Source organism: Homo sapiens, chromosome 1, assembly GCF_000001405.40.
Source record: "Homo sapiens chromosome 1, GRCh38.p14 Primary Assembly".
Taxonomy (NCBI): Eukaryota; Metazoa; Chordata; class Mammalia; order Primates; family Hominidae; genus Homo; species Homo sapiens.
In genome coordinates, this window is record NC_000001.11 from 67,264,374 (window position 1) to 67,289,092 (window position 24,719).

General features: G+C 40.3%; 1 protein-coding gene and 2 pseudogenes across 1 annotated transcript in view, besides 1 other annotated feature; 2 read left to right on the top strand and 1 right to left on the bottom strand.

The window, feature by feature from the left end:
- IL23R (interleukin 23 receptor) overlaps positions 1-1,530 on the top strand; it is a 127,267-nt gene extending 125,737 nt beyond the window's left edge. Inside the window, exon 11 of the mRNA XM_047447227.1 lies at positions 1,388-1,530. Within this exon, the coding sequence (XP_047303183.1) occupies positions 1,388-1,435 (48 nt within the window). The 3' untranslated portion in view covers positions 1,436-1,530. The remainder of the gene's footprint in view (positions 1-1,387) is intronic.
- Positions 683-782: an enhancer, noted in NCBI's record as "active region_1172". NCBI's record gives its function as "activates an Ori minimal core promoter by ATAC-STARR-seq in GM12878 lymphoblastoid cells {active_cell/tissue: GM12878}" and the evidence as "EXISTENCE:reporter gene assay evidence [ECO:0000049][PMID:35858748]".
- Positions 3,228-3,353, bottom strand: RNU4ATAC4P (RNA, U4atac small nuclear 4, pseudogene; annotated as a pseudogene).
- DNAJB6P4 (DNAJB6 pseudogene 4) lies at positions 13,679-14,552 on the top strand (annotated as a pseudogene).
- The last annotated feature ends 10,167 nt before the right edge of the window (positions 14,553-24,719 follow it).

Here is a 24,719-nt window from a genome sequence, read left to right on the forward strand (position 1 = left end):
GCTGTGGTTTATCTCTTTATGAAGCAATTATACCAATTATAGAAGATAATGTTTTAATGGGAAATATTACCCATTTGGCAGACACTATTGGTTTAAAATAAAAGAAGTGATTAAAAACAACTTATGAATCTCTCTTGGGTAAAAGAATGAAAACAATATAACATAATTGGGTTCTGATTCATAAAATGAATTGTACACAACTTTCTTCGATGCTGTAGTTAAGACAAAATTACAAGAAAGTCTAACAAAGGTTTGACAGAATGTTATTATGTGTCTTTCCTACTGCTAAGATTACATCATTAAACCCCAATTAATGTTTTATGTTAAGGCTTTCTTAGCCATTTTGCTAATTTCACTTTTCAACTTAAGATAACCACACTGCACCTTTTAGATCCAGAATTCCCATCAATTTCCTGAAGATGCATTCCCATTATGATTATTTTCAGGAATACAAGTTATTATCTAATTCTCATAATTAGCATTTAGCAACAGATTAGGAACTTATTCTTAAATGGTCCATTTTTGTCTGGGGTAGTAAAAGTATTCTGGGCTACTTTTATGAGACGGGGTTGGGGGGGAACCCTAAACAACAGTGTTACAGAAGCATAACTCTTTCCTGAGATTGTTGGTTTAAAAATTCAAGCAAAACAAAATGCTGTTTCTAACCATAAAGGCATACCTAAAATTAGAGACTGTCAGAGCACAGGAAGGAAATCATAAATAGCCAAACACTGGAACACAAGTGTGAGGTACGGAAGTCAATAAACGTTACTGTTTTCTTTCTGTTCACATCCTGTCTGAGAATTGTATTAGAGGAGAGCAAGAGAGAAAGAATGCAACAGTAAAATAAAGGGAATGCATTTTTATTTCTGAACTACACAGTAATTCATGAAAACACACTTTTTAAAAATCAAAGGAATACCAGTGTAAATGGAGTGAAAAGTGACAGTTGCTATTCACTCCTTTTTTTCCCACTCCTACCCCATCATCAAAGGTAATGACTCTCAGCAAATTATGAGGTTTTTCCTAGTATTTTTATTTAAATGATAAAATATGATATTGTCCTATGACATGCTATTTTTAACCTAACAATATGTCTCAGAAATCTTCACATGTCATTATATGTAGCTTTACCTTATTCTTTTAAACAATTGCCCTAATAATCTATAGAATAAATTTCAATAATATATTAACCTAATCTATTAATGAACATTTAGGTTATTTCCAATTTTTCACTAGTACACCTATTCCTTTAATAATTCCTCTTGTACATATGTTTATACACATATAAGAATTTTGTGTGTTAGGTTGTCAGGGACAGATACCTAAATGTGGAATTGCTGGGCCAAGAGACAGAAAGGAAGATAAAATCATTTACATTTTGCAGCCAGGTGTGGTGGTGTGCTCCTGTGATCCCAGCTACTTGGGAAGCTGAAGTAGGAGGACTGCTTGAGCCCAGGAGTCCAACACCAGCTTCACAACATACCAAGACCCTGTCTCAAAAAAAAAAAATTAGATTTTGGTAAGTATTACCAATTATTTCTCTAAAAAGAGTTTGCCAATATTATTAGTACGTAAAATGTTTGCCAACCTGATGGGTATCTTGTTTGCATTTTTTTAGAAGATGAGGTTGAATATTTTATTTGTTTATTGCTTTTTTGTATTTCTTATTTTTTGGTTCACCTTTGTTATATTATTTGGTCATTTTTCTACTGAGTTGTTGGTTATAGTCTTAGTCATTTGCAGGAGTGCTTAATATAAATCTTTTCTGTTATATATGTTCTAAATACGTTTTCCCAGCCTGTGTGTTATTTTTTTATCTTCATGTTTTCTTTTGCCAAACAAAAGTTTTAAAATTGTATGCAGTCAATCTGTTGCCATTTTTCTTTATGACTTCTAGACTGGGTATCATGTTTAGTGTCAAAAGACAAAATCACAACAAATTTAGTTCAAAGATCTTATGTGGGGCCGGGTGCTGTGGCTCAAGCCTGTAATTCCAGCACTTTGGGAGGCCAAGGTAGGTGGATCACCTGAGGTCAGGAGTTCGAGACCAGCCTGGCCAACATGCTGAAACCCCTTCTCTACTAAAAATACAAAAATTAGCTGGGAATGGTGGCACGTGCCTGTAATCCCAGCTACTCAGGAGGCTGAGACAAGAGAATTGCTTGAACCTAGGAGGCGGAGGTTGCAGTAGGCCAAAATTGCACCATTGCACTCCAGCCTGGGCAACAGAGCGAGACTCCATCTCAAAAAAAAAAAAAGATCTTAATTGAGGTCAGGTGCTTTGGCTCATGCCTGTAATCCCAAAACTTTGGGAGGCTGAGGTGGGAGGATTGCTTGAGCTTGGGAATTCAAGGCCAGCCTGGGCAATATAGTGAGACCCTATCACTATTAAAAAGAATAAAGAATTTTAAAAATATTTTTAAAAAATTTTAATTGTCTTTTATTTGCAATTCTAGAATCGGACAACACCTCATACTATAAAACAGAGTGAGTGTTCTGATGAGCTGAGCAGAGGAGGTTGATTTAAGGAACTTTCTTATCACGCTGGCGAAAACTGGCCTGTTTAGGGATTTGGCTGTTATCTCTGTGTCCTGATTTGTTGAAAGGTCAGATAAAGATCTTAGTTTCAGCAGGTTAGTGTGGAACTTCAGCATGACTGACTCCAGTTTGGTTTTGTCTGTTGGGCCTAGTACAGGAGCTCAGTCCAAACCAATGATCTATTATACATTTGATTTAACATTAGTAAAATATGTATTTACGCTAGAACATGTAGTGGTGTAATATAGTCTGAACGTTGTCCCCATCTAATCTTATATTGAATTGTAATCCTCAGTATTGGATGGAGGTTGGGCCTGGTGACAGGTGACTGGATCACAGGGGCAGATCTCTCAGGAATGACTTAGCACCATCTCTTTTGTAGTAAGTGAGTTCTCAAGAGAGCTGGTTGTTTAAAAGTGTGTAGCACCTTTCCCTTCTCTCTCTCTTGCTTCTGCTCTCCCTGTGTGAGATGCCTGCTCCTGCTTCACCGTCCACCATGATTGTAAGCAGCCCAAAGCTTCACCAGAAGCAAAGCAGCTACCAGTGCCATGCTTCATGTATAGCCTGCAGAACTGTGAGCCAATTAAACCTCCTTTCTTTATAAATTACCCAGCCTCAGGTATTTCTTTTTTTTCTTCCTTTTCAAAAACATTTTTTTTCAATTTCATGGAAAAGAGGTTTTTCATTTTTCCAAAAATTGTACCAAGGTAAAGCAAAGTTCTAGTTGATGCAGGTGCATTGTATAGGCGTTAGCAATACTGCCCTCATTATGCACTCATTAGACAGTAGTGCAACCCCAAGAAAAGGATGGTTAGATATTTCTTTATAGCAATGCAAGAACAGCCTAACATACGGTGATATTAAGCAATGGGAGAACAGTGGGCATTAGAAGACACAGATCAGATTAGAATCTACCTTTCTGGCTGGATGCGGTAGCTCACACCTGTAATCCCAGTACTTTGCGGGGCTGAGGCGGGCAGATCACCTGAGGTGAGGAGTTTGAGAGTAGTCTGGCCAACATGGTGAAACCCTGTCTCTACTAAAAATACAAAAAATTAGTTGGGCATGGTGGCACACGCCTGTAATCCCAGCTACTAGGGAGGATGAGGCAGGAGAATCATTTGAACCGGCGAGGCGGAGGTTGCAGTGAGCCGAGATCGCACCATTGCACCCCAGCCTGGGCGACAGAGCAAAACTCTGTCTCAAAAATAAATAAATAAAAAGAATCCACCTTTCTCAGACCCTGGCTATGTGGTTTCCAGCAAACCCTTAACCAGGAGGATTCAGTTTCTTTTTCCTTAAAAAAGATCCTATTAATATCTTCCTCTGGCCATTCGTTGAGAACATTAAATTAAATAACATTTGGAAACACTGGCAGGCTAGTCAGAGTGGCTCATGCCTGTAATCCCAGCACTGTGGGAGGCCAAGGCCAGTGGATCACTTGAGCTCAGTACATTGAGACCAGCCTGGGCAACATGGCAAAACCCAATCTCTACAAAAAATTAGCCAGGTGTGGTGGTGTGTGCCTATAGTCCCAGCTACTCAGGAGGCTGAGGTGGGAGGACTGCTTCAGCCTGGGAGGCAGAGGTTGCAGTGAGCTGAGATGGGCCACTGCACTTCAGCCTGTGCAACAGAGCAAGATCCTGTGTCAAGAAAAAAAAAGAAGAAGAAGAAAGCACTGGCAGAGTGCTTAGCATGAAGTAGGCACTGGAGGAATTTTGATACAGTAAGAATAGGAATACTAGGTACCTGAGAGGAGAGGCAGAAAATGTCAGTGGACTAAGTGGAGTGAAAAAGAGGCGAGGAAACAGGACTAGAAAACTCTAAAAGCATGCACTCTTAGGTAGTGCAGAAGTGTTTTTGTCCAACTATTAAATAGCACAACCCTAAATTCCTGTCATACTCCTGATCTTTCATTTTAGTGTTCAGGATCTCATAGTAAACATGCAAAATTTGATATTCATTTGATAACGGTTGCTGTGATACTTATTGCAAATCTCTTCTTATCTAGATTTTTAAAATATATTTTTTTGTAGGGATGGGGTTTCTCCATGTTGCCCAGGTCGGTCTCAAACTCTTAGACTCAAGAGATCCTCCTACCTCAGCCTCCCAAAGTGCTGAGATTACAGGCATGAGCCACTGCACCCAGTCTTATCTACATTTAAACAAAGTTTAGCATTTATTTTATTTTGCGGTTCAATATAGAAGATTTATTTTATCTTAGTTGCTGAAATTGGAAATCACTTCTGTTTCACCAAATGAAGAGATTAGGATTTTAAGAAACTGCCAGCTGCTAAGTATTTGCAGATTCATTCTTTTTTTAGTATTCGTTGCACATCCCATTCAATGTGTTACTTTGGAGATTCCATTTGATTGAATAGAGGCAGCCCATGCAGAACTCTTTGAAGAACAGGAGGGAGGCTGCTGAAGCCCAGAGCAATGAAGAAAAGCAATTCTAATGTAAGAAAAACAAAGAACAAAAAAACAGAAGCACTTTGCAAACACAATAAATGATATTAATAGATTCAACCCATCTTCATCGCTTTAATGAAATGATAATTTTTGAGGCACTTATTAAAACTCTTACATTGTCTTTTCCATTTTGTTGCTTTTGTTTTACTAAGAAGTAGAAATCTTCAGTTAGAAAAAAATCAGAAAAACATGTGGAACTACAAATGTAACTGATATTACAAATAGGTAGACTAAACTTTATTTTTTCCTTTTAAGAGCTTGGATTAAGGTCAAACAATCAGAGGGGATTTTGGGTTTTTTTGTTGTTGTTGTTTTGTTTTGTTTTGTTTTAGAGGCAGGGTCTTGCTCTGTCACCCAGGCTGGAGTGCAGTGGTGCAATCATGGCTCACTGCATCCTCGAACTCTAGGGCTCAAGTGATGTTCTTGCCTCAGCCTCCTGAATAACTACGACTGTAGGTGCACAAAACATGCCTGGCTAATTTTTTTGTTTTTTGTAGAGATGTTATCTCGCTATGTTGCCCAGGCTGGTCTTGACCTCCTAGCTTCAAGCAATCCTCCTTCCTTGATCTCCCAAAGTGCTGGGATTATAGGTGTCAGCCACCATGCCTAGCCACAATCTGGGCTTTTGAATTTCAAATTTACTATATGCCAAGTATGTGATGTTGGACAATCACTGGAGTTTCATGTTCTCTCCTTGTCCTACTTTCTGGGACAGGGATACTGATCTTGGTGCACCTTGCTTGAGAAAATTTGAGTTGACTCTCTCCTCCTTGAAACACTTTCTTCCTCCAAGAACACCACACACCCCTGACCCCTTACTCTGACCACTCATTCTCAGTCTACTTCTCTGGTTTCTCCTAGTCTCTTTGCCACCTAAACGTTGAAGGCCCCACAGTGAAGGCCTTGGTTTCTCCCTTGGTGATCTTGTCCATTCTTGTGGCTTTAAACACGATCTACATGTTATAAGAACAGGCTAACCCAACATCTATTTTGAACTCAAGACTCAACTCCAGATTCAACTGTCTACTAGCATCTTCATTTGTCTATCATCAAGGTATTTAAGACCCAAGCTTTTTCTTCTCACAGATGTCCCATCTCAGTAAATAGTGTTGCCATTTTTCTAGTTGCCCAAAAATCTTGGTGCCATCCTTGACTTTTTTCTTTCATTCCTCACATCTACTCCATCAGGAAACCCTATCCATCCTACCTTCAAAATATATTCAGAAATTGAATCATTTCTTACCACCTCAACTCAACCGCCTAGCTCAAACTACAGTCATCTCTTGCCTGAGTTATTACAAAAGCCTCCCAAAGGTCTGTCTTAATAGCCAGATGATCCTGCTACAACCATACTTGTCTGCTCCAAATCTGTCAGTGGCTTTCCATCCCACACACGACAGGAGTCTGAGTCACTATAATGACCTAGGAGGCCCCACCTGGTTTACCTCTTCTGTCCCAGGATCCTCCATTGTAATCACTCAGCTCCAGATACTGGGAACCTTGTAAGCACCCCAGGGTCTTTGCTCCTGCTGTTCCCTTCTGAATCGTGCACTAGCACGCTACCTCTCGGAATTCCTGTTGCCTCCTATTCAGCCCTCCCCAGCCATTCCATGTAAATGACAAACCTCCACCCCCATGCATTCTAGTCTCCTCTGCTTTGCCTTTCTTCACAACACTCACCACCATCTAAAATTGAACATACTACACATCCTACTCATTAATCTTGTTCATTGTCTGTCAGTCACTACAGTGTAAGATCCAGAAGGACAGAAATTGTGTCTACTCTGTTCCCTATAAACCTTTAATGCTTAGAACAGTGCCTGGCACATAGTAGGTGTTCAATAAATATTTGTTGACTGAATGAATGAACAATAGATAATGGCCCAATCTAGTCATTCCATCTACTTCTCACAAGACAGAAAAGAGTATTTCACGAAGGCAAAGAGCTTTCAGACCTCAATGTGTTTTCTGAGGCTCTTCCTCAATACTCCATTATTTTATCATCACCATTGTTGTTTTTCTCTAAACTGCCACTCTATAATTGACAAGAAAGCAACGACATAATGTAAAATTATGTGTTTTTATTTTCATTTATGCAGCTTTGTTTTATTTTCTAGGACCACTCCAATAGTTATTGGAGTCATTGAAATGACAGTCATTTTCAACCATCTTCTTTGCTGTTGACTGAAACCCTGTCTTCAGATAGATTCATGTGGCAGAGTTAATAACACCTCAGTGGGCAAACACTATCCTTCCTTTCTCTGGGGGGAGATATTTTTAGCCACCACACTAATTAGATAGCTCTCTGGCTGATAATGGGGCAGACAAAGGGTGTAGCATGTTAAAGAAAATGAGCAAACAGGTGCAATCAACTTAGAGAATATTAATCAAATGTCTTTTTTTTTTGAGATAGGGTCTCACTCTGCTGCCCAGGCTGGAGAGCAGTGGCATGATCTTGGCTCACTGCAGCCTTGACTTCCTCCACTTCCCAAGCTCGGGTAATCCTCCTGCCTCAGTACCCCCCGAGCAGCTGGGACTACAGGTGCATGCCACCAGGCCTGGCTAATTTTTTGTAGAGACGGGGTTTCAACATGTTGTCCAGACTGACCTTGAACTCCAGGGCTCAAATAATCTGCCCACCTTGGCCTCCCAAAGTGCTAGGATTACAGGCATGAGCCAATATGCCCAGCCAAATATCTTAATCACCATCATCATCATCATCATAAACTGCCGGTAGGAAGTTTGGCATAATGTGTCACATCAATTATAAATCACAGATGATTTTACTTGATATAGTTAGCTAGAGATAATCCACAGGGGGTAATTTTATTTATTATTGTTTTAAATGCTATTAAATTTTGTTTTTATCTAGCCTGCTAATTTTCTGAATGAAGCTGTAATTGGCATTTGATTGATTTGGCTGTGTCCCCACCCAAATCTCATCTTGAATTCTCATGTGTTGTGGGAGGAAGCTGGTGGGAAGTAATTGAATCATGGAGCAGGTCTTTCCCATGTGGTTCTCATGATAATAAGTCTCACAAGATCTGATGGTTTTAAAAATGGGACTTTCCCTGCATGAGCTCTCTCTCTTTGCCGGCCCCCATCCATGTAAGATGTGACTTGCCCCTCCTTGCCTTCCACCATGACTGTGAGGCCTCCCCAGCCATATGGAACTGTAAGTCCATTAAATCTCTTTTTTTTGCAAATTGCCCAGTCTTGGGTATGTCTTTACCAGCAGCGTGAAAATGGACTTATACAGCATTTACCACAGTGTCTGGCTCATAGTAACTGTGGCAGAGCCTGCTAATTGTCCGTTCAACTTCCGTTCTCAAATTCTTACTTCCTAACAGAACCCCTATGTCATTGATGATAGCAGTTCTCTCAGTGAAAAGATACATTTCTAGCCTCCCTTGCAGCTAGGTGTGGTCATGTAACTGAATTCTGTCCAATGAGATATACACAGAAACTGTTAGAGGGATTTCCAAGCTGTCTTATTAAAGAGTGGGGACAGACAAATGGAGAATATTTTCCTCCCTCTTCCTCCTTCCTGCTGACTGGGAAGCGAGCATGACATCTAGAGCTCCAGCTCCTATCTGAGACAATAAGGTGACCTGGAAGATAGAAGTTGTGTGCTGAGTAAGGTGAGCAGAAGACAGAAAAGCCCACATCTCCGATGATTTTGAGGAGCTGCCTTGGATCACTTTCCTTAACTTCTTTTACCTGAGAGTAATGTTCTAATATCACTGTTCTTGCAGATTCTGCTATTTGTATTTGAATTGATCCTAATGGATGTAATACGTAATCAGAAATTATTTTTTCAGAGAATGGATGGAGTACATGCCTATGGTGGTTGTAGTAGTCTGCTCAGGCTGCCATAACAAAACACCACAGACTGGTTGTCTTAAACAATAGAAATTTATTTTCTCACAGTTTTGGAGGCTAAGAATTTAAGATTAAGGTGCTGGCAGGGTTGGTGTCTGGTGAGACCTCTCTTTCTGGCTTGTGGATGACCATCTTCTTTACCATGTCATATAGCCTTCCCTTAGGCTCATGCAGAGAGAAGGAGAGAGAAATATTTCTGCTGTCTCATTCTCTTTGTATAAGGACATTGATCCTATCGAATTAGGTCCCCGTCCTTATAACCTCACTTAATCTTAGTTACTTCCCTTAAGGCCCTATCACCAAATACAGTCACATTGGGACTTAAGGCTTCAACATATGGATTTTGGGGGACACAATTCTGTCCGTAACAGCGGTCATCTATTGTCTTGCCAGTTTTCCTCTTCTAGGACCTGCTCTTTTCCTCCTATCCACATGTTGCTTCAGTATCACTCTGATTAGCTAGCAGCAGTTGATTGGTGTGAAGTATGCACCTGATCCAAGCTGGGCCAATCAAAGGCTTTCCCTAGGAATTGTGCAATTAGGCCTGCGAAAGAGACAGACTCCTTCCAGTGACAGAGTGTTAGGTGGCAAGTTCAGAAGCTGTCAGTCTTGTTTTTCTCCATGTGGCCAGAATGAAAGGAAGATGGCCCATAGACGCAGAATAAGAAGAATAATAAACAGATCCACAGAAAAGGACAGAGGAGAGATGAAATGAGAACCCTGAATGCATTAGAATCCCTTGCTCTAATTGTTAATAATGTTCAATCATATTCATGACTCATGACCCATGAGAAACTTTATAATACAGCCTTCTTTCTTCCTTAGCTACTTAGAGTTGGGCTTCTACTATTTTCAATTGAGAGCCCTAGCTAATACAACTCTCCAAAATTAAAAAAAGAAAAAAGAAAAAGAAAAGAAAAAAAGCTTTGTATTTTTAGGCTCTTAGAACTCACATTATTTTCTTTTAATAATGATTAGCAACAACTAATGGTGTTTGTTTTATCTTGTACGCTAAATTATCTGAAATTGGGTAGGTACTACAGTGGAAATAAATATTTGATGTTATTTTCAATAAATTGTTACTGGAGTTAAACCTCTTGCTATCCTGACAATTCCTCCCTACATCACCCTCTTTGCAATGGCAGATGGAAGAATTGGCAATAAATGCAATTCAGCTTGAAGAAAACACCCTAAATATTAGAAACCTGTGAAGAACCACCGGATTGCCTTATCAACTCATTGTGCATCCTATTTGGAAGTCTAAAATAGAACTAAAATTCTAATACTTTTACTTGTATAAATGCTTATAATTGTCATCTTTGCATCTCAGCAATTATTCCTGGATAAATATACTGCAAATCATCTAAGAAGAGAAAAACCCCTCTGAATTACATGACTGAGTTTCAGAATGTGAGTAAAGTATGGCTAACCAAAATGTTCAAGCAAACTGATGCAAATTTCCTTTTCTATGACTGTGTAAGCAAAACTCTTTTGCACGATACTAAGTTTGATGTGGTGTAGCATGTAAAAGAGAAAGCACCTTTATCTGTGTTTGAGTGGAAACCAGGTAACCTTGTCATAAACTGGGGAAGAAATGACTTAAGTGTCAGCTCCCACATCTCCTGCTGTGAATAGCCTTTAGGGGTGTCATAACCACGAACACACAAACTTGACAGAAACTAAATCTCAGTGCACAAAGAAAATGTATCTGCAATGAATTCATATTGGGCTCTTCCCACACATTATTTAACTTAATCTTCCAAACAAGCTGTGAGGTAGATATTATTATCACCATTTTACACTGAGGAAACTGAGTCAGAGAGATGCTTTTTCTTGCCCAGCACCACTTAGGTCATAAGTGGTGGAGCTGGTTTTGAATGTATTCACCTCGCTCGCACCCCATGTGTCTGTGCTGTACTATGAATTCCTCAAGGGATGGGGACTGGTATTTAGCTTGTGTCTTTAAATTGTCATGAAAGACTAGAGGCTTCTTCTTGGTAGTAAGAAATAACGTGTACAATACCAAGAATATAGCAATTGTACTCAAGAGTATATTAAGGTCAGCGGGTGTGTGTAATAGAGGAATTATGAAAGACATATCTGTGAAACATGCTGAGATTCAGCAGTAATAAATTGTTTAAAAACTAGGCTTGAGAAGATGATAAGAGCTATTTATGACAAACCCATAGCCAATATCATAATGAGTGGGCAAAAGCTGGAATCATTCCCTTTAAACCGGCACAAGACAAGGATGCCCTCTCTCTCCACTCCTATTAAACATAGTATTGGAAGTTCTGGCCAGGGCAATCAGGCAAGAGAAAGAAATAAAGGGTATTCAAATAGGAAGAAAGGAAGTCAACTTGTCTCTGATTGCAGACGACATGATTGTATATTTAGAAAACCCCATCATCTCAGCCCAAAAATTCTTTACACTGATAAGCAACTTCAGCAAACTCTGAGGATACAAAATCAATGTGCAAAAATCACAAGCATTCCTATACACCAATGATAGACAAGCAGAGAGCCAAATCATGAGTGAACTCCCATTCACAATTGCTACAAAGACAATAAAATACGTGGGAATACGATTTACAAGGGACATGAAGGACCTCCTCAAGAACTACAAACCACTGCTCAGGGAAATCAGAGAGGACACAAACAAATGGAAAAACATTCCATGCTCATTGATAGGAAGAATCAATATCGTGAAAATGGCCATACTGCCCAAAGTAATTTATAGATTCAATGCTATTCCCATCAAGCTACCAGTGACTTTCTTCACAGAATTGGAAAAAACTACTTTAAATTTCATATGGAACCAAAAAAGAGCCTGAATAGCCAAGACAATCATAAGCAAAAAGAACAAAGCTGGAGCCATCACGCTACCTGACTTCAAACTATACTACAAGGCTACAGTAACCAAAACAGCATGGTACTGGTACCAAAACAGATACATAGACCAACGGAACAGAACAGAGACCTCAGAAATAACACCACACATCTACAATCATCTGATCTTTGACAAACCTGACAAAAAAAGCAATGGGGAAAGGAGCAATGGGGAAAGGACTCCCTGTTTAATAAATGATGCTGGGAAGACTGGCTAGCCATATGCAGAAAACTGAAACTGGATCCCTTCCTTACACCTTATACAAAAATTAACTCAAGATGGATTAAAGACTTAAATGTAAAACTCAAAAGCATAAAAACCCTAGAAGAAAACCTAGGCAATATCATTCAGGACATAGGCCTGTGCAAAGACTTCATGACGAAAACACCAAAAGCAATGGCGACAAAAGCCCACATTGACAAATGGAATCTAATCAAACTAAAGAGCTTCTGCATAGCAAAAGACACTATCATCAGAGTGAACAGGCAACCTACAGAATGGGAGAAAATTTTTGCAAGCTAACCGTCTGACAAAGATCTAATATCCAGAATCTACAAGGAACTTCAACAAATTTACAAGAAAAAAACAACCCCATCAAAAAGTGGGTGAAGGATATCAACAGACACTTCTCAAAAGAAGACATTTATGCAGCCAACAAACATATGAAAAGAAGCTTATCATCACTGGTCATTAGAGAAATGCAAATCAAAACCACAATGAGATACCATCTCATGCCAGTTAGAATGGTGATCATTAAAAAGTCAGGAAACAAGAGATGCTGGTGAGGCAGTGGAGAAATAGGAATGCTTTTACACTGTTGGTGGGAGTGTAAACTAGTTCAACAATTGTGGAAGACAGTGTAGCAATTCCTCAAGGATCTAGAACCAGAAATACCATTTGACCCAGCAATCCGATTACTGGGTATATACCTAAAGGATTATAAATCATTCTACTATAAAGACACATGCACATGTATGTTTATTGCAACCCTATTTACAATAGCAAAGACTTGGAACCAACACAAATACCCATCAATAATAGACCGGATAAAGAAAATGTGGCACATATACACCATGCAATACCATGCAGCCATTAAAAAGAATGAGCTAATGTCCTTTGCAGGGACATGGATGAAGCTGGAAGCCATCATTCTCAGCAAGCTAATGCAGGAACAGAAAACCAAACACTGCGTGTTCTCACTCATAAGTGGGAGTTGAACAATGAGAACACATGGACACAGGAATGGGAACACCACACACCGAGGCCTGTCAGGGGGTCAGGGGCAAGGGGAGGGAGAGCATAGGTTGATAGGTGCTGCAAACCACCATGGCACATGTATACCTATGTAACAAACTTGCACGTTCTACACATGTATGCCAGAACTTAAAGTAAAATTTAAAAAATTTAAAAAATAAAAAATAAAAAAAAAATTAAAAAAAAAAAAAACTAGGCTTGAGAGGAAAGCACAAGTAGTCACCACCACCAGCGCAGCAGTGCCAGAGCCAGGAGGAGATCCCGGCCACTGCCCCTGCCTCCCGCCTGCCGTCAGTCGCCTCCATCCTGTTCCAGCAATCTCTTAAAGCATGATGGGTTAGGCTGGGCACAGCGGCTCATGCCTATAATCCCAGCATTTTGGGAGGTCGAGCCAAGTGGAACACCTGAGGTCAGGAGTTCAAGACCAGCCTGGCCAACGTGCTGAAACCCCGTCTCTACCAAAAATATAAAAATTAGCTGGGCATAGTGACACAAGTCTGTAATCCCAGCTACTCAGGAGGCTGAGACAGGAGAATGTCTTGAACCCCAGAGGCGAGGTTGCAGCGAGCCAAGATGGTGCTACTGCACTCCAGCCTGGGTGACAGAACGAGACTCTGTCTCAAACAAACAAACAAAATCATGGTGGATTACTATGAAATTCTAGGAGTGTGGAGAGAGGCCTCACCCGAGGATATTAAAAAGGCACACCAGAAACTGGCACTGAAGTGGCACCCAGATGAAAATCCTGAGAATAAAAAGCAGAGAGAAAATTCAAACAAGTAGCTGAGGTGTGTGAGGTGTTGTCAGATGCTAAAAAACGGGACATCTATGACAAATATGGCAAAGAAGGATTAAATGGTGGAGGAGGAGGTGGAAGTCATTTTGACAGTCCTTTTGAGTTTGGCTTCACATTCTGTAACCCAGATGATGTCTTCAGGGAATTTTTTGGTGGAAGGGACCCATTTTCATTTGACTTCTTTGAAGAACTCTTTTGAGGACTTGTTTCAGAATCAAAGGGGTCCCCGTGGAAGCAGAAACCAAGGGTCGGGGTAGTTTTTCTCCACATTCAGTGGATTTCCATCTTTTAGAAGTGGATTTTCTTATTTTGATATAGGATTTATTAATACTTCATTTGGGTCACTCGGTCACGGGGGCCTCACTTCATTTTCTTCCACATCATATGTTGGTAGTGGGATGGGCAACTTCAAATCGATAACACTTCTACTAAAAAGGTTAATGGCAGAAAAATCACGATAAAGAGAATTATCAAGAATGGTCAAGAAAGAGTAGAAGTTGAAGAAGACAGCCAGTTAATGTCTTTAACAATAAGTGTTAAGGAGCAGCTGCTGCACTTGGATAACAAGTAATTCAAGGCGCCCACTTAACAGAAATGTTAAACTATAACAAGAACCATCTGAGGATTAACAGAAACTTTTTTTTTGTAGATTTCAAGGGAACTTGCCTTTCAGAATAATAGTACCTAAAGTATTTATAAACAGCTAATCGGAACCTCTATTTGTCATAGGCTTTTGAGTTTATTGTTGGGACCCATAATAGGACCATTTTTTCTTTTTGTCTTCAAAATTATTGTAGGCCAGGTGCAGTGGCTTACACCTGTAATCCCAGCACTTCGGGAGGCTGAGGCGGGTGGATCAAGTGAGGTCAGGAGTTCAAAACCAGCCTGGCCAACATGGTGAAACTCCATCTCTACTAAAAATACAGAAAAGTAGCCAGGTGTGGTGGCAGGCACCTATAATACCGGCTACTTGGGAGGCTGAGGCAGAAGAATTGCTTGAACCCGGGAGGTGGAGGTTGCAGTGAGCCAAGATCACACCATTGCACTCCAGCCTAGGTGACAGGGCAAGACTCTGTCTCAAAAATATATATATTATTGTAAATGTCTGTATGCTTTTTGCCCTTTTATTAAATGTACTCCAAGGTGAGCCTTGACTCTTTAGTGTAGGACAAGACTGTGCACTAACACCAGCATGGATCTGCTTTTCCATTGTGTCTGAAATGTGAGCCACATAGTGTTGGCCTGCTGTGAGGTCACCATTGCCAGGGCGAATCTTCTACAGAACTAAATTCATTTTGTTTTTCAGTATGTAGTAGTAAAAGATATTAATGCATTAATGGTAATACATTTCTGGTTTAATATAAATTAAGGGTGTTTTCTAGCTGAGCCTGAATCCTGTCAACTCAGTAAGTCTTGACAATTGTTTAAATATGTGATGTTAAGCTTAGGTTTAAAAAAGCAAAGCAGGTAAAGTGGGTCTTTGTCATTTGCTTTTTTTTTTTTTCCTGAGATGGAGTCTCGCTGTCGCCCAGGCTGGAGTGCAGTGGCGCGATCTAGGCTCACTGCAGGCTCCGTCCCCTGGGTTCACGCCATTCTCCTGCCTCAGCCTCCCTAGTAGCTGGGACTGCAGGCACCCGCCACCTCGCCCGGCTAATTTTTTGTATTTTTAGTAGAGACGGGGTTTCACTGTGTTAGCCAGGATGGTCTTGATCTCCTGACCTCGTGATCCGCCTACCTCGGCCTCCCAAAGTGCTGGGATTACAGGCGTGAGCCACTGCGCCCAGCCGTCATTTGCTTTTTTAAAAAAGAAAATAAATGCAAATGTGTTTGGTGCAAATAAATAAACAAATAAAAACTAAGTTTGACCACTGAACACAATGCATAATCCAGGACTGACTCCTATGCTGAGGGTGAATGTGATGGGAGATTCTCTCTCAGGGATACTATTGAGGCATTCAACAAAATTTTAATATGGATTATAGATTATAAAAAGAAATTCTGTATCAATGTGAAATTTTCTGCATTTGATATCTCTGCTGTGGATATTTTAAAACATTTTTATTAATATGAAAACACAGTGAAATATTACAGCAAAAGGGCCATTATATATTCAAGCAACCTCTCTCTTGGATGGTTTAGGGAAAAAATTATATCTCTAAACAGAGAGAGTGAGAGAGAGAATAAAACAAACGTGGTCAGGCGCGGTGGCTCATGCCTGTAATCCCAGCACTTTGGGAGGCCAAGATGGGAGGATCACCTCAAGCGATCCAGGAGTTCGAGACCAGCCTGGTCAATATAGCAAGACCTTGTCTCTATTTAAAAGAAAAGAAAAGAAAATGTGGCAAAAAGTTAAAAATAGCTAATCTGGTAAAAAGTATAGGAGAATTCTTTGTATGTATTGTTTTCACAGTTTTTCTGGAAGTTTAAATTATTACAAAAGATAAGGTTCATTAGAAAGACCGCTAGGCTTAGACTCAGGAGTCCTGGTTTTGGGTTCAGATTTCCCATTATCCATCTGAGTGACATTTGTCATTTCACAGAATTTCTCTGGACCACGCCCCTCTTCTGTAAAATACAAAAGTTATTTGTTTTAACTGTGGATTGGCATTCCATTATAGAAACAAATAGCTCACTCATTCCTCTAAACTGAGTGGTTTCTATTTCTTCCCTGTTATGAGCAGTGCTGCAGTGAACGGCTGTATTCATTGTTCCGTGTGCTCACGTGCAGGTGTGTCCTAGGGCACAGCCATGTTGATCCATGTGGGTAAACTAAAAAATGTAACATCGAGTGAAAAAAAGCACACTGAAAATACACTAAATATGATTCAATTTATGTAAATTTTCAGGCACTAACATACATCATAAAAGTACAAAAACATACATCAGATTGATATATGCCAACATCACCTTAGAGCTTACCTCTGGGCAGAAAGGGAGGAAGAAGGAAGGAGTAGAGTGGGCTGTAGTTACATCTATGTTTTTTCTTCTTGAGAGAGTGAGAGATTGATCTACGGTAAGGGTGGGTTCAGCTAACGACTCTTGGTGTCTTCCAGCGCTAATGATTTATAATTAAGTTAGATTTGTAACCTTAAAATACTTTATAGCATTTACCCTGCTTGTGAGTGTGTATAGATTTAACAGAATTCAACAAGCACGTGCTGAGAAAATTCTTTACCCAGGGCATTCAGCTACCTACAGTATAGTCAGAGGGAAATAAAACATGGTTTGGAATGCTTTGAGGGAAAGAGGACTCTGATGTGGTATTAAAGATAAAGTTGGTTAATCATTTCCTTGAGATAATGGCACATAAGCTACAATTAAAGGAGAAACTGGACATATGAGGGAGGGAGGACTTTGTTAGCGCTATGCTTTTAGGCATATATTCCTTATGTGAATATTTATTCTTAGCATTGTTGGCTCAGTGAATGGCCTAGGAAAGTTACATTCCAGAAGGAAACATGTTATTACACATAGGAATCGATTGGTCCTCCATGAGTACCTACAATTGAATTCTATGTATTAAAACCGCAGAAAAACACATACAGATAGAAAATATTTTTAATCAAGGACTAGTATCCAAAGCAAAACAAAGTGGAAATTTGGTAATTATCCTGTGAATTTCTGCAACTTAACAACCAAACTGGATAATTTGAGCAAGGAGTTCATCTATTGATGTGTGCACACCCTTACAGCAAAACATCTCTCTCTATCTCTGAGAGTCATCTTAGGCAATTGTGAACAGAAGGCGTTTATCCATCAGGGCTCTTTTAGTACCAAAAAACAGAAAACCTGACTCCAATGAACTTAAATGAAACTGAAAGGTCCAAGGATAGATTTTTAACTTCAAGCACACCTTGATCCAGGAGCTCAAGCAATGGCATTGTAAGGGAGCCTAAAGACCCCCTCTACCCATCTTTGGGGTTTTGGGTTTTTGATTTTTTGTTTTTGTTGATTGTTTTGTTTTGTTTTTTTGAGATGAGGTCTGGCTCTGTTGCCCAGGCTAGAGTGCAGTGGCGCGATCTCGGCTCACGGCTCTCCTCCATCTCCCGGGTTCAAGCAATTCTCCTGCCTCAGCCTCCTGAGTAGCTGGGATTACAGGCACACACCATTACGCCCAGCTAATTTTTGTATTTTTAGCGGAGACAGGGTTTTACCATGTTGGCCAGGCTGCTCTCGAACTCTTGACTTCAAGTGATCTGCCTGCCACGGCCTCCCAAAGTGCTGGGATTACAGACGTGAGCCACCGTGACTTGCCCATCTTTGTTTTTAAGTAAAATCTTCTGCTGGGTCTAGGAGCTGTTACTGAACCAAACTTCGGTGGCACAGCAAAGCCAAACACTGACATCAGGATTTGCAGCTGGAGAAAATGAGGCATTTATTGCAGGGCACCAAGCAAGGAGAATTGGCAGCTTATGCTTAAGATCAGAACTCCCTAATGGCTTATAGGTAAGAGTTTTTAAAGATGGGGAGGCACGCTGGGCACAGTGGCTCATGCCTGTAATCCCAGAACTTTGGGAGGCTGAGGTGGGAGGATTGTCTGACCCCAGGAGTTCAAGACCAGCCTGGGCAACATGGCAAGAATGTGTCTCTATTTAAAAAATAAATAAATAAATAACATTTTTTTAAAAAAGATGGGAAGTCAAAGGTTCCAGGCAAAATCATAAATCAGTACATGGAGGTTATATATTAATTTGACCTAAAAAGGCAGGACCTCTCAAACTGGGGTGCGGGGTGGCGGTGGCCCACAGGTCATAGGTGGATTCAAAAAGATTCTCTGATTTGTGATTTGTTAGGGAAGCAAAGCTTTGTCTAAAAACTTGGCATCAGCAGGAAGAAATGTTGAGCTCTGGCCTGTGGGCAGGACTTCCTTCAGGACCCTCAGGAAGAAATTTAGGACACAGGATGGTGATCAGGGTTCAGTCCTCAGTGCTCCCTTATCTGAGGTCTATGTGCCAGCAGATGACATTTTCCATTGGGTAGCGGTCCAGGTTTCTGAAAAACAACTTGGGGCCGGAGATGTTATCTTTAGTTTCTACATGGAGCCAAACATTTTGGGACTTTAACTTTCCTGGCTATTGTTTTAAGCTGTTATTACCTTCTTGATTATCAGGTTGCTCATGTACTTCTCAAGGCTAGCTGGGTGCCTGGAATTTCCCTTGAAGGTACTCAAGACTTTCCTTTATTTCCATGTTTGAAGGAAGTCCCCAGGAGGCCCCTAAAAGGGTTCCCTGCTCCATCTCAACCAAATTGATACAAGATAGATTAATAGGACAAAAGCATACAGGTTTTATTAATTTTACATATACATGGGGATCCTCACAAGAGAGGGAAGACCCAAAGAAATGGCCAAAGCAGAAAGCTTTTATACCTTTCAGGCAAAGAATGATACATTTTGTGAAGAAATGACAAGACTGGGTCTGGGCTAGGGGCAGTAAATTCTAGGGTAATCACTAAGAGATATATGGAGGGCTGTAAGGCTAGTGAAAGAGGAGGATTATTTTAGTAAGCTTATTTATTCGGATCCATTGCAGCATCACTTCTCAGTCATGGCTAATAAGGGTTATCTTCTCATGCTGGAACAGGCAAGGCAGCTTTTTCTTTCTTTCTTTCTTTCTTTCTTTCTTTCTTTCTTTCTTTCTTTCTTTCTTTCTCTCTTTCTCTCTTTCTCTCTTTCTCTCTTTCTCTTTCTCTCTTTCTTTCTTTCCTTTAAGTTCTGGGATACATGTGCAGAATGTGCACGTTTGTTGCATAGGTATACACGTGCCATGGTGGTTTGCTGCACCTATCAACCCGTCATCTAGGTTTTAAGCCCCACATGCATTAGCTATTTGTCCTAATGTTCTCCCTCCCCTTGTCCTCTGCCCCCTGACAGGCCCCTGTCAGGGGATGTTCCCCTCCCTATGTCCATGTGTTCTCATTGTTTACCTCCCACTTTTGAGTGAGAACATGCGGTGTTTGGTTTTCTGTTCTTGTGTTAGTTTGCTGAGAATGATGGCTTCCAGCTTCATCCATGTCCCTGCAAAGGACATGAGCTCATTCTTTTTTATACCTGTACCTTCCTTTCTTTTTTTAAGAGATGAGGTGTCACTTTGTTACTCAGGCTGCAGTGGAGTGGTGTGATCATAGCTCACTGCAGCCTTGAACTCCTGGGCTCAAGCAATCCTCCTGCCTCAGCCTCCTGAGTAGCTGAGACTACAGGTGTGCACCTTCACGCCTGGCTTGAAGGCAGCTTTCTCACAGGAATTTTTATGGCTTGCTATAGGTAAGAAAGGGCAGTTCAGATGGTGCTTTCTGCAGCTGCTGCTTCTCAAGTGCTTTCAGCTAGAAATAAAGTACAAGCTGAGCATTTTGGAGCATTATATCCTTAACCTCTTCAGCATCAAGACTGTTTCTTCCCATTTCTTGACTTGTCTTTCTGCAATGTTGGCATCATTTCTAGGCTTACACATATACCTCCAGACTCAGGTCATCCTTACTGTTACAGTCCTGGAAAAACAAGACAGCCTCAGCTCAGTAGTTCCCATACAAATTCCAATGTTTAGATTGTTTGGCATAACTGGAGTCACATGCTTATCCATGAACTAAATAATCATCGTTGACAGGAAATATGGTATTCTCATTGGCCAGGTCAAGTCACATGCTCACCAGAGGGGTGATGGGGAACTAGCTCCACTCTTGCGCGTATTAGGGAGGAGATGTTCTCAGTCAACACTTCTCAAACTTGAATGTGCCTTCAAATTGCCAGGGGAGCTTTTAAAATGCAGGTTTTTCCTAGCACTTTGGGATGCCAAGGTGGGCACATTACTTGAGCTCAGGAGTTTGAGACCAGCCTTGCCAATATGGTGAAATCCTGTCTCTTCTAAAAATAAAAAAATGAGCCGAGCGTGCTGGTGTGCGCTTGTAGTCCCAGCTACTAGGTAGGCTGAGACAGGAGAATCGCTTGAACCTGGGAGGTGGGGGTTGCCGTGAGCTGAGATCGCACCGCTGCACTCCAGCCTGGGTGGCAGAGCGAGACCCTGTCTCAAAAAAAAAAGTTAATTAATTAATTAAATAAAATAAAAAATAAAATGCAGATTCTGATTCAGCTGTTCTGGAATAGGCCCAGAGAGGCTGCGTTTCCAACAGCCCTTTTCAGATCAGACTCCCAAGGTGCATGCTAATCTGCTAAGTATTACGAGTGTAGTTAGTTGAAGTCACTACAGTAGTAGTAGCAGTAGTAGTAGCACAGTAGTTAGTTTGCACTAGGCCCCTAATATGAGGGTCCTAGTGCAAAATGAGAATGTGGGGCCCATCAGTCAACAATTATTAAGAATTTAAAAAAAGTGATAACAAAGCATTTAACCAAACACAGAGCTATTCTACTCTTGGAGCGTGTGCAGCTTCACAGGTCACATGCCCATGGAGCCAGCCTTGATTGTAGCCTTCTGTTTTGACGAGTTTGAGTTGGAACCAGAACAGGATTGCTGTAAACAGTAGGGGAGAGGCAGAGGCAGAACCTGTGGTCCTTCTCTGCTCTCCTCCAAACAGATTTGGCCTCATCTTTGAATGAATGTTGAACATTTGAAAACCAACCACCTTTCTGCAGGAGCACTAGTTATCCGCCTGTTTGTGGAGCCCATATATCTCAATCCAGTTCTCGTCAGGAGATCCATGAAATGCTGACCTTTTATTCTTAATTGCCACTGACTTTGCCTCCATATTAGGCTAGATGTTCTTGCTTTGTGTCTCCAAAGGCCTTTACACTTTCACAACCATAACCCTTCGCATGTATTATTTCCATTAACTAGTTTGGTCGTCTGTCTTTCCTCCTGGACTATAAGCTCAAGGAGGGGTAGAGACAGTGTCTGTCTTGTTTATCTTTGTGGCCCATTTCTTTAGTATGGTGCCTGGAGTAACGCTTCAAATATACATTAACTGAGTTGACAATTAGAGTAATAGTTAACATATCTGGCATTGTCAGATGTTTTAATTTTAGCAATTTTGGTGGGTGAGAAGTGGTATCCTATTGTGGTTTTAATTTGCATTTCCCAGATGACTAATAAGGTTGAGCACCATCTCATGCATTTATTGACCTTTTGAATACCCTCTGTATTCGTGTGCTAGGGTTGTCATAACAAGGTACCACCGACTGGGTGACTCAAACATCAGAAATTTACTTTCTCACAATTGTGGAGGCTAGAAGTCTAGAAGATTAAGGTGTTGGCAGGTTTGCTTTCTTCTGAGGGCTCTCTCCTTGACATGTAGAGGACTGTGTTCTCCCTGTGTCTTCACACGGTCTTCCCCCGTTTGTGTGTGTCCTAATCTCCCCTTTATAAGGACAGCAGTCATATTGAATTGGGGCCCACCCCCTGACCTCATTTTAACTTAATTACTTCTTTAAAGGCACTATCTCCAAATGCAGTCACATTCTGAGGTACTGGAGTTGGGGCTTCAACATATGAACCTGGGGGGATACCATTCAGCTCATAACATCTTTTTTGTATGAGTGTCTCTTCAAGTCTCTTGTCCATTTTTCTTTTGAGTTATCTGCTGATAGAAGCTCTTGATATCTCTTTGACTCGAGCCTTTTCTTCAGGCCCTCTGCTGTTGGTTACATGGGTTACCACTATCTCCATCCATTCTTCTAATGATATCTTCCAATAAATTGAAGTCCCTAATTTTAATATAGTCCAATTTGTCAATGTTTCCCTTTACGACTAGTGCTTTTCTTTTTTCTATTTAGAAAATCTTTGCTTCCTCCAAAGTAGTGAGACATTCTCTATGTCTCTTCAAAACTTTTGTTTGTTTTACATTTTATATTTAGACATATGATCCACCTGAAATTTCTTTTTATGTATGGTGTAAGGAAGAGTTCAATATGTATTTTTCGAAACATATATTTAATTGATCCAGCACCATTGATTGAAAAAAAAACATATTTTCCTCTCTGCTCTTGCATTGGATCTATAAGTTATTCCGCAGAAAAATTGGTATTTTGATAACATTAAGTCTTTAAGTCTATGGTTTTATTATCATGAATTCTGCTTAGGACTTCTTGATATTTATCTTTCTTAAATCTGTGGCTTGATAACTTTTGTCATTTTGGAAAACTCTCAGAGATCATCTCTTCAAGTATTTCTTCTGCTATATTCTTTTTCTTCTGTCTGTGGAATCCAGTTACATGTATGCTAGACCTTTTTATTCTGTTTCATATGTCTCTTAGATCTTTTTGTCTTTCCCTGCTTCAGTCTGCATATTTTGTTCTGGCCTGTATTCCAATGTACTTATTTTCTTTTCAGCTGCATCAGTTCTTGCTTTGTAATTGTATTTTTTCAGTCCTAGAATTTCCATTTGATTAATTTTTATAGTTGTCACTTCTCTGCCAAACTTTTCCATTTTGTTATTTAATTTCTTAAACATTAACTTCTTAATTTAATTTGTTTAGTTTTATGAGAACTAAAATGCTCATTAAAATACACATTTAAAAATTCCAATATTTATATCTCCCATGGCTCTTTCCAGTTAGGGGTCAATTATATATTATTTTTGTAGGCCGAATTATTTCTTAACTCACCTCTAAACATTTGTATGTGAAAAATTATAAGAGCAATTTGAGGCTTTGGAAAATGTTCTCTTCCTCCACAGAGGATTAACATTTGCTTCTGGCAGCAAGTTTGGCCAGAAGTAGGTCATCTTAATGCAATCTGGGATTAAAATAATCCAAAGCTAGGCCTCAGTTCTTGTGAAGTCTGTTCTCATTCACATTTATTCCTGAGATGATGCCCTTCAGGATCCCCGCTGAATGCCTGAAGTGTCTACCAGGGAACCTTTTCTAGCCTTTTCTAGCTTTGTCTTTTTTTTCCTCCACTTTTTTTTGTCCCTACAGCTCACAGGACACCTCGTGGAGCTCCTCAGCCACCAGCCACTTTGTCGGGTTCCTCTAAGGGGAAAGAGAGTCCAAATACCAGGCTCACATATCTAGGTTTTCTTTTTCTTCCAAGACTTGGTCCTGCAAATTCTGTCTTCCCTGGTCTCTTGTCAATTAGGTTTAGATGGGAAAATATATAACTAGAATTGGTTTCTTAGAAGCTGACTTTCTGAGATGGTTCTATTGTCAGGTCTGTTGAGTTGTGCTCAGGTGTCTGTCTCTTGTTTGCCTCCTGGTACTGCCTGAACAAAGAGCATCATCACCAATCCTTGTGTGATGGTTACTACTGAGTGTCAACTTGATTGGATTAAAGGATACAAAGTATTAATCCTGGGTGTGTCTGTGAGGGTGTTGCCAAAAATATTAACATTTGAGTCAATGGTCTGGGGAAGGCAGATCCACCCTTAATTTGCCTTAGCTTCCAGCGAATATAAAGCAGGCAGAAAAAATGTGAAAAAGAGACAATGGGCCTAGCCTCCCAGCCTACATCTTTCTCCCCTGCTGGACGCTACCTGCCCTCAAACGTCAAACTCCAAGTTCTTCAGTTTTGGGACTCAGACTGGCTCTCTTTGCTCCTCAGCTTGCAGACAGCCTATTGTGGGATATTGTGATAGTGTAAGTTAATACTTAATAAACTCATATATATATATATGTATGTGTACATCACACACACACACATAAACATATCCTATTAGTTCTGTCCCTCTAAAAGAACCCTGACTAATACAGATTTTGGTACCAGGAATGGTTCTAGAGGAACAGAATATTAAGGATGGAGTTCTTTAGTTGGTTTTGGGGTTTCTGGAGTTGGCTGCTTAATATGATTAGACCCCACAATGCTAGGGACTGTACTTCCAATAGTATAGATAACACTGATAGTCCTTGGCATGAGCTCTTTAGAGAGTTATGCAAAATAAATGCATTTGATGCTCCTAATTCACCACTCATGAGAGGCAAGGAGTTTAGTGACTCTATAC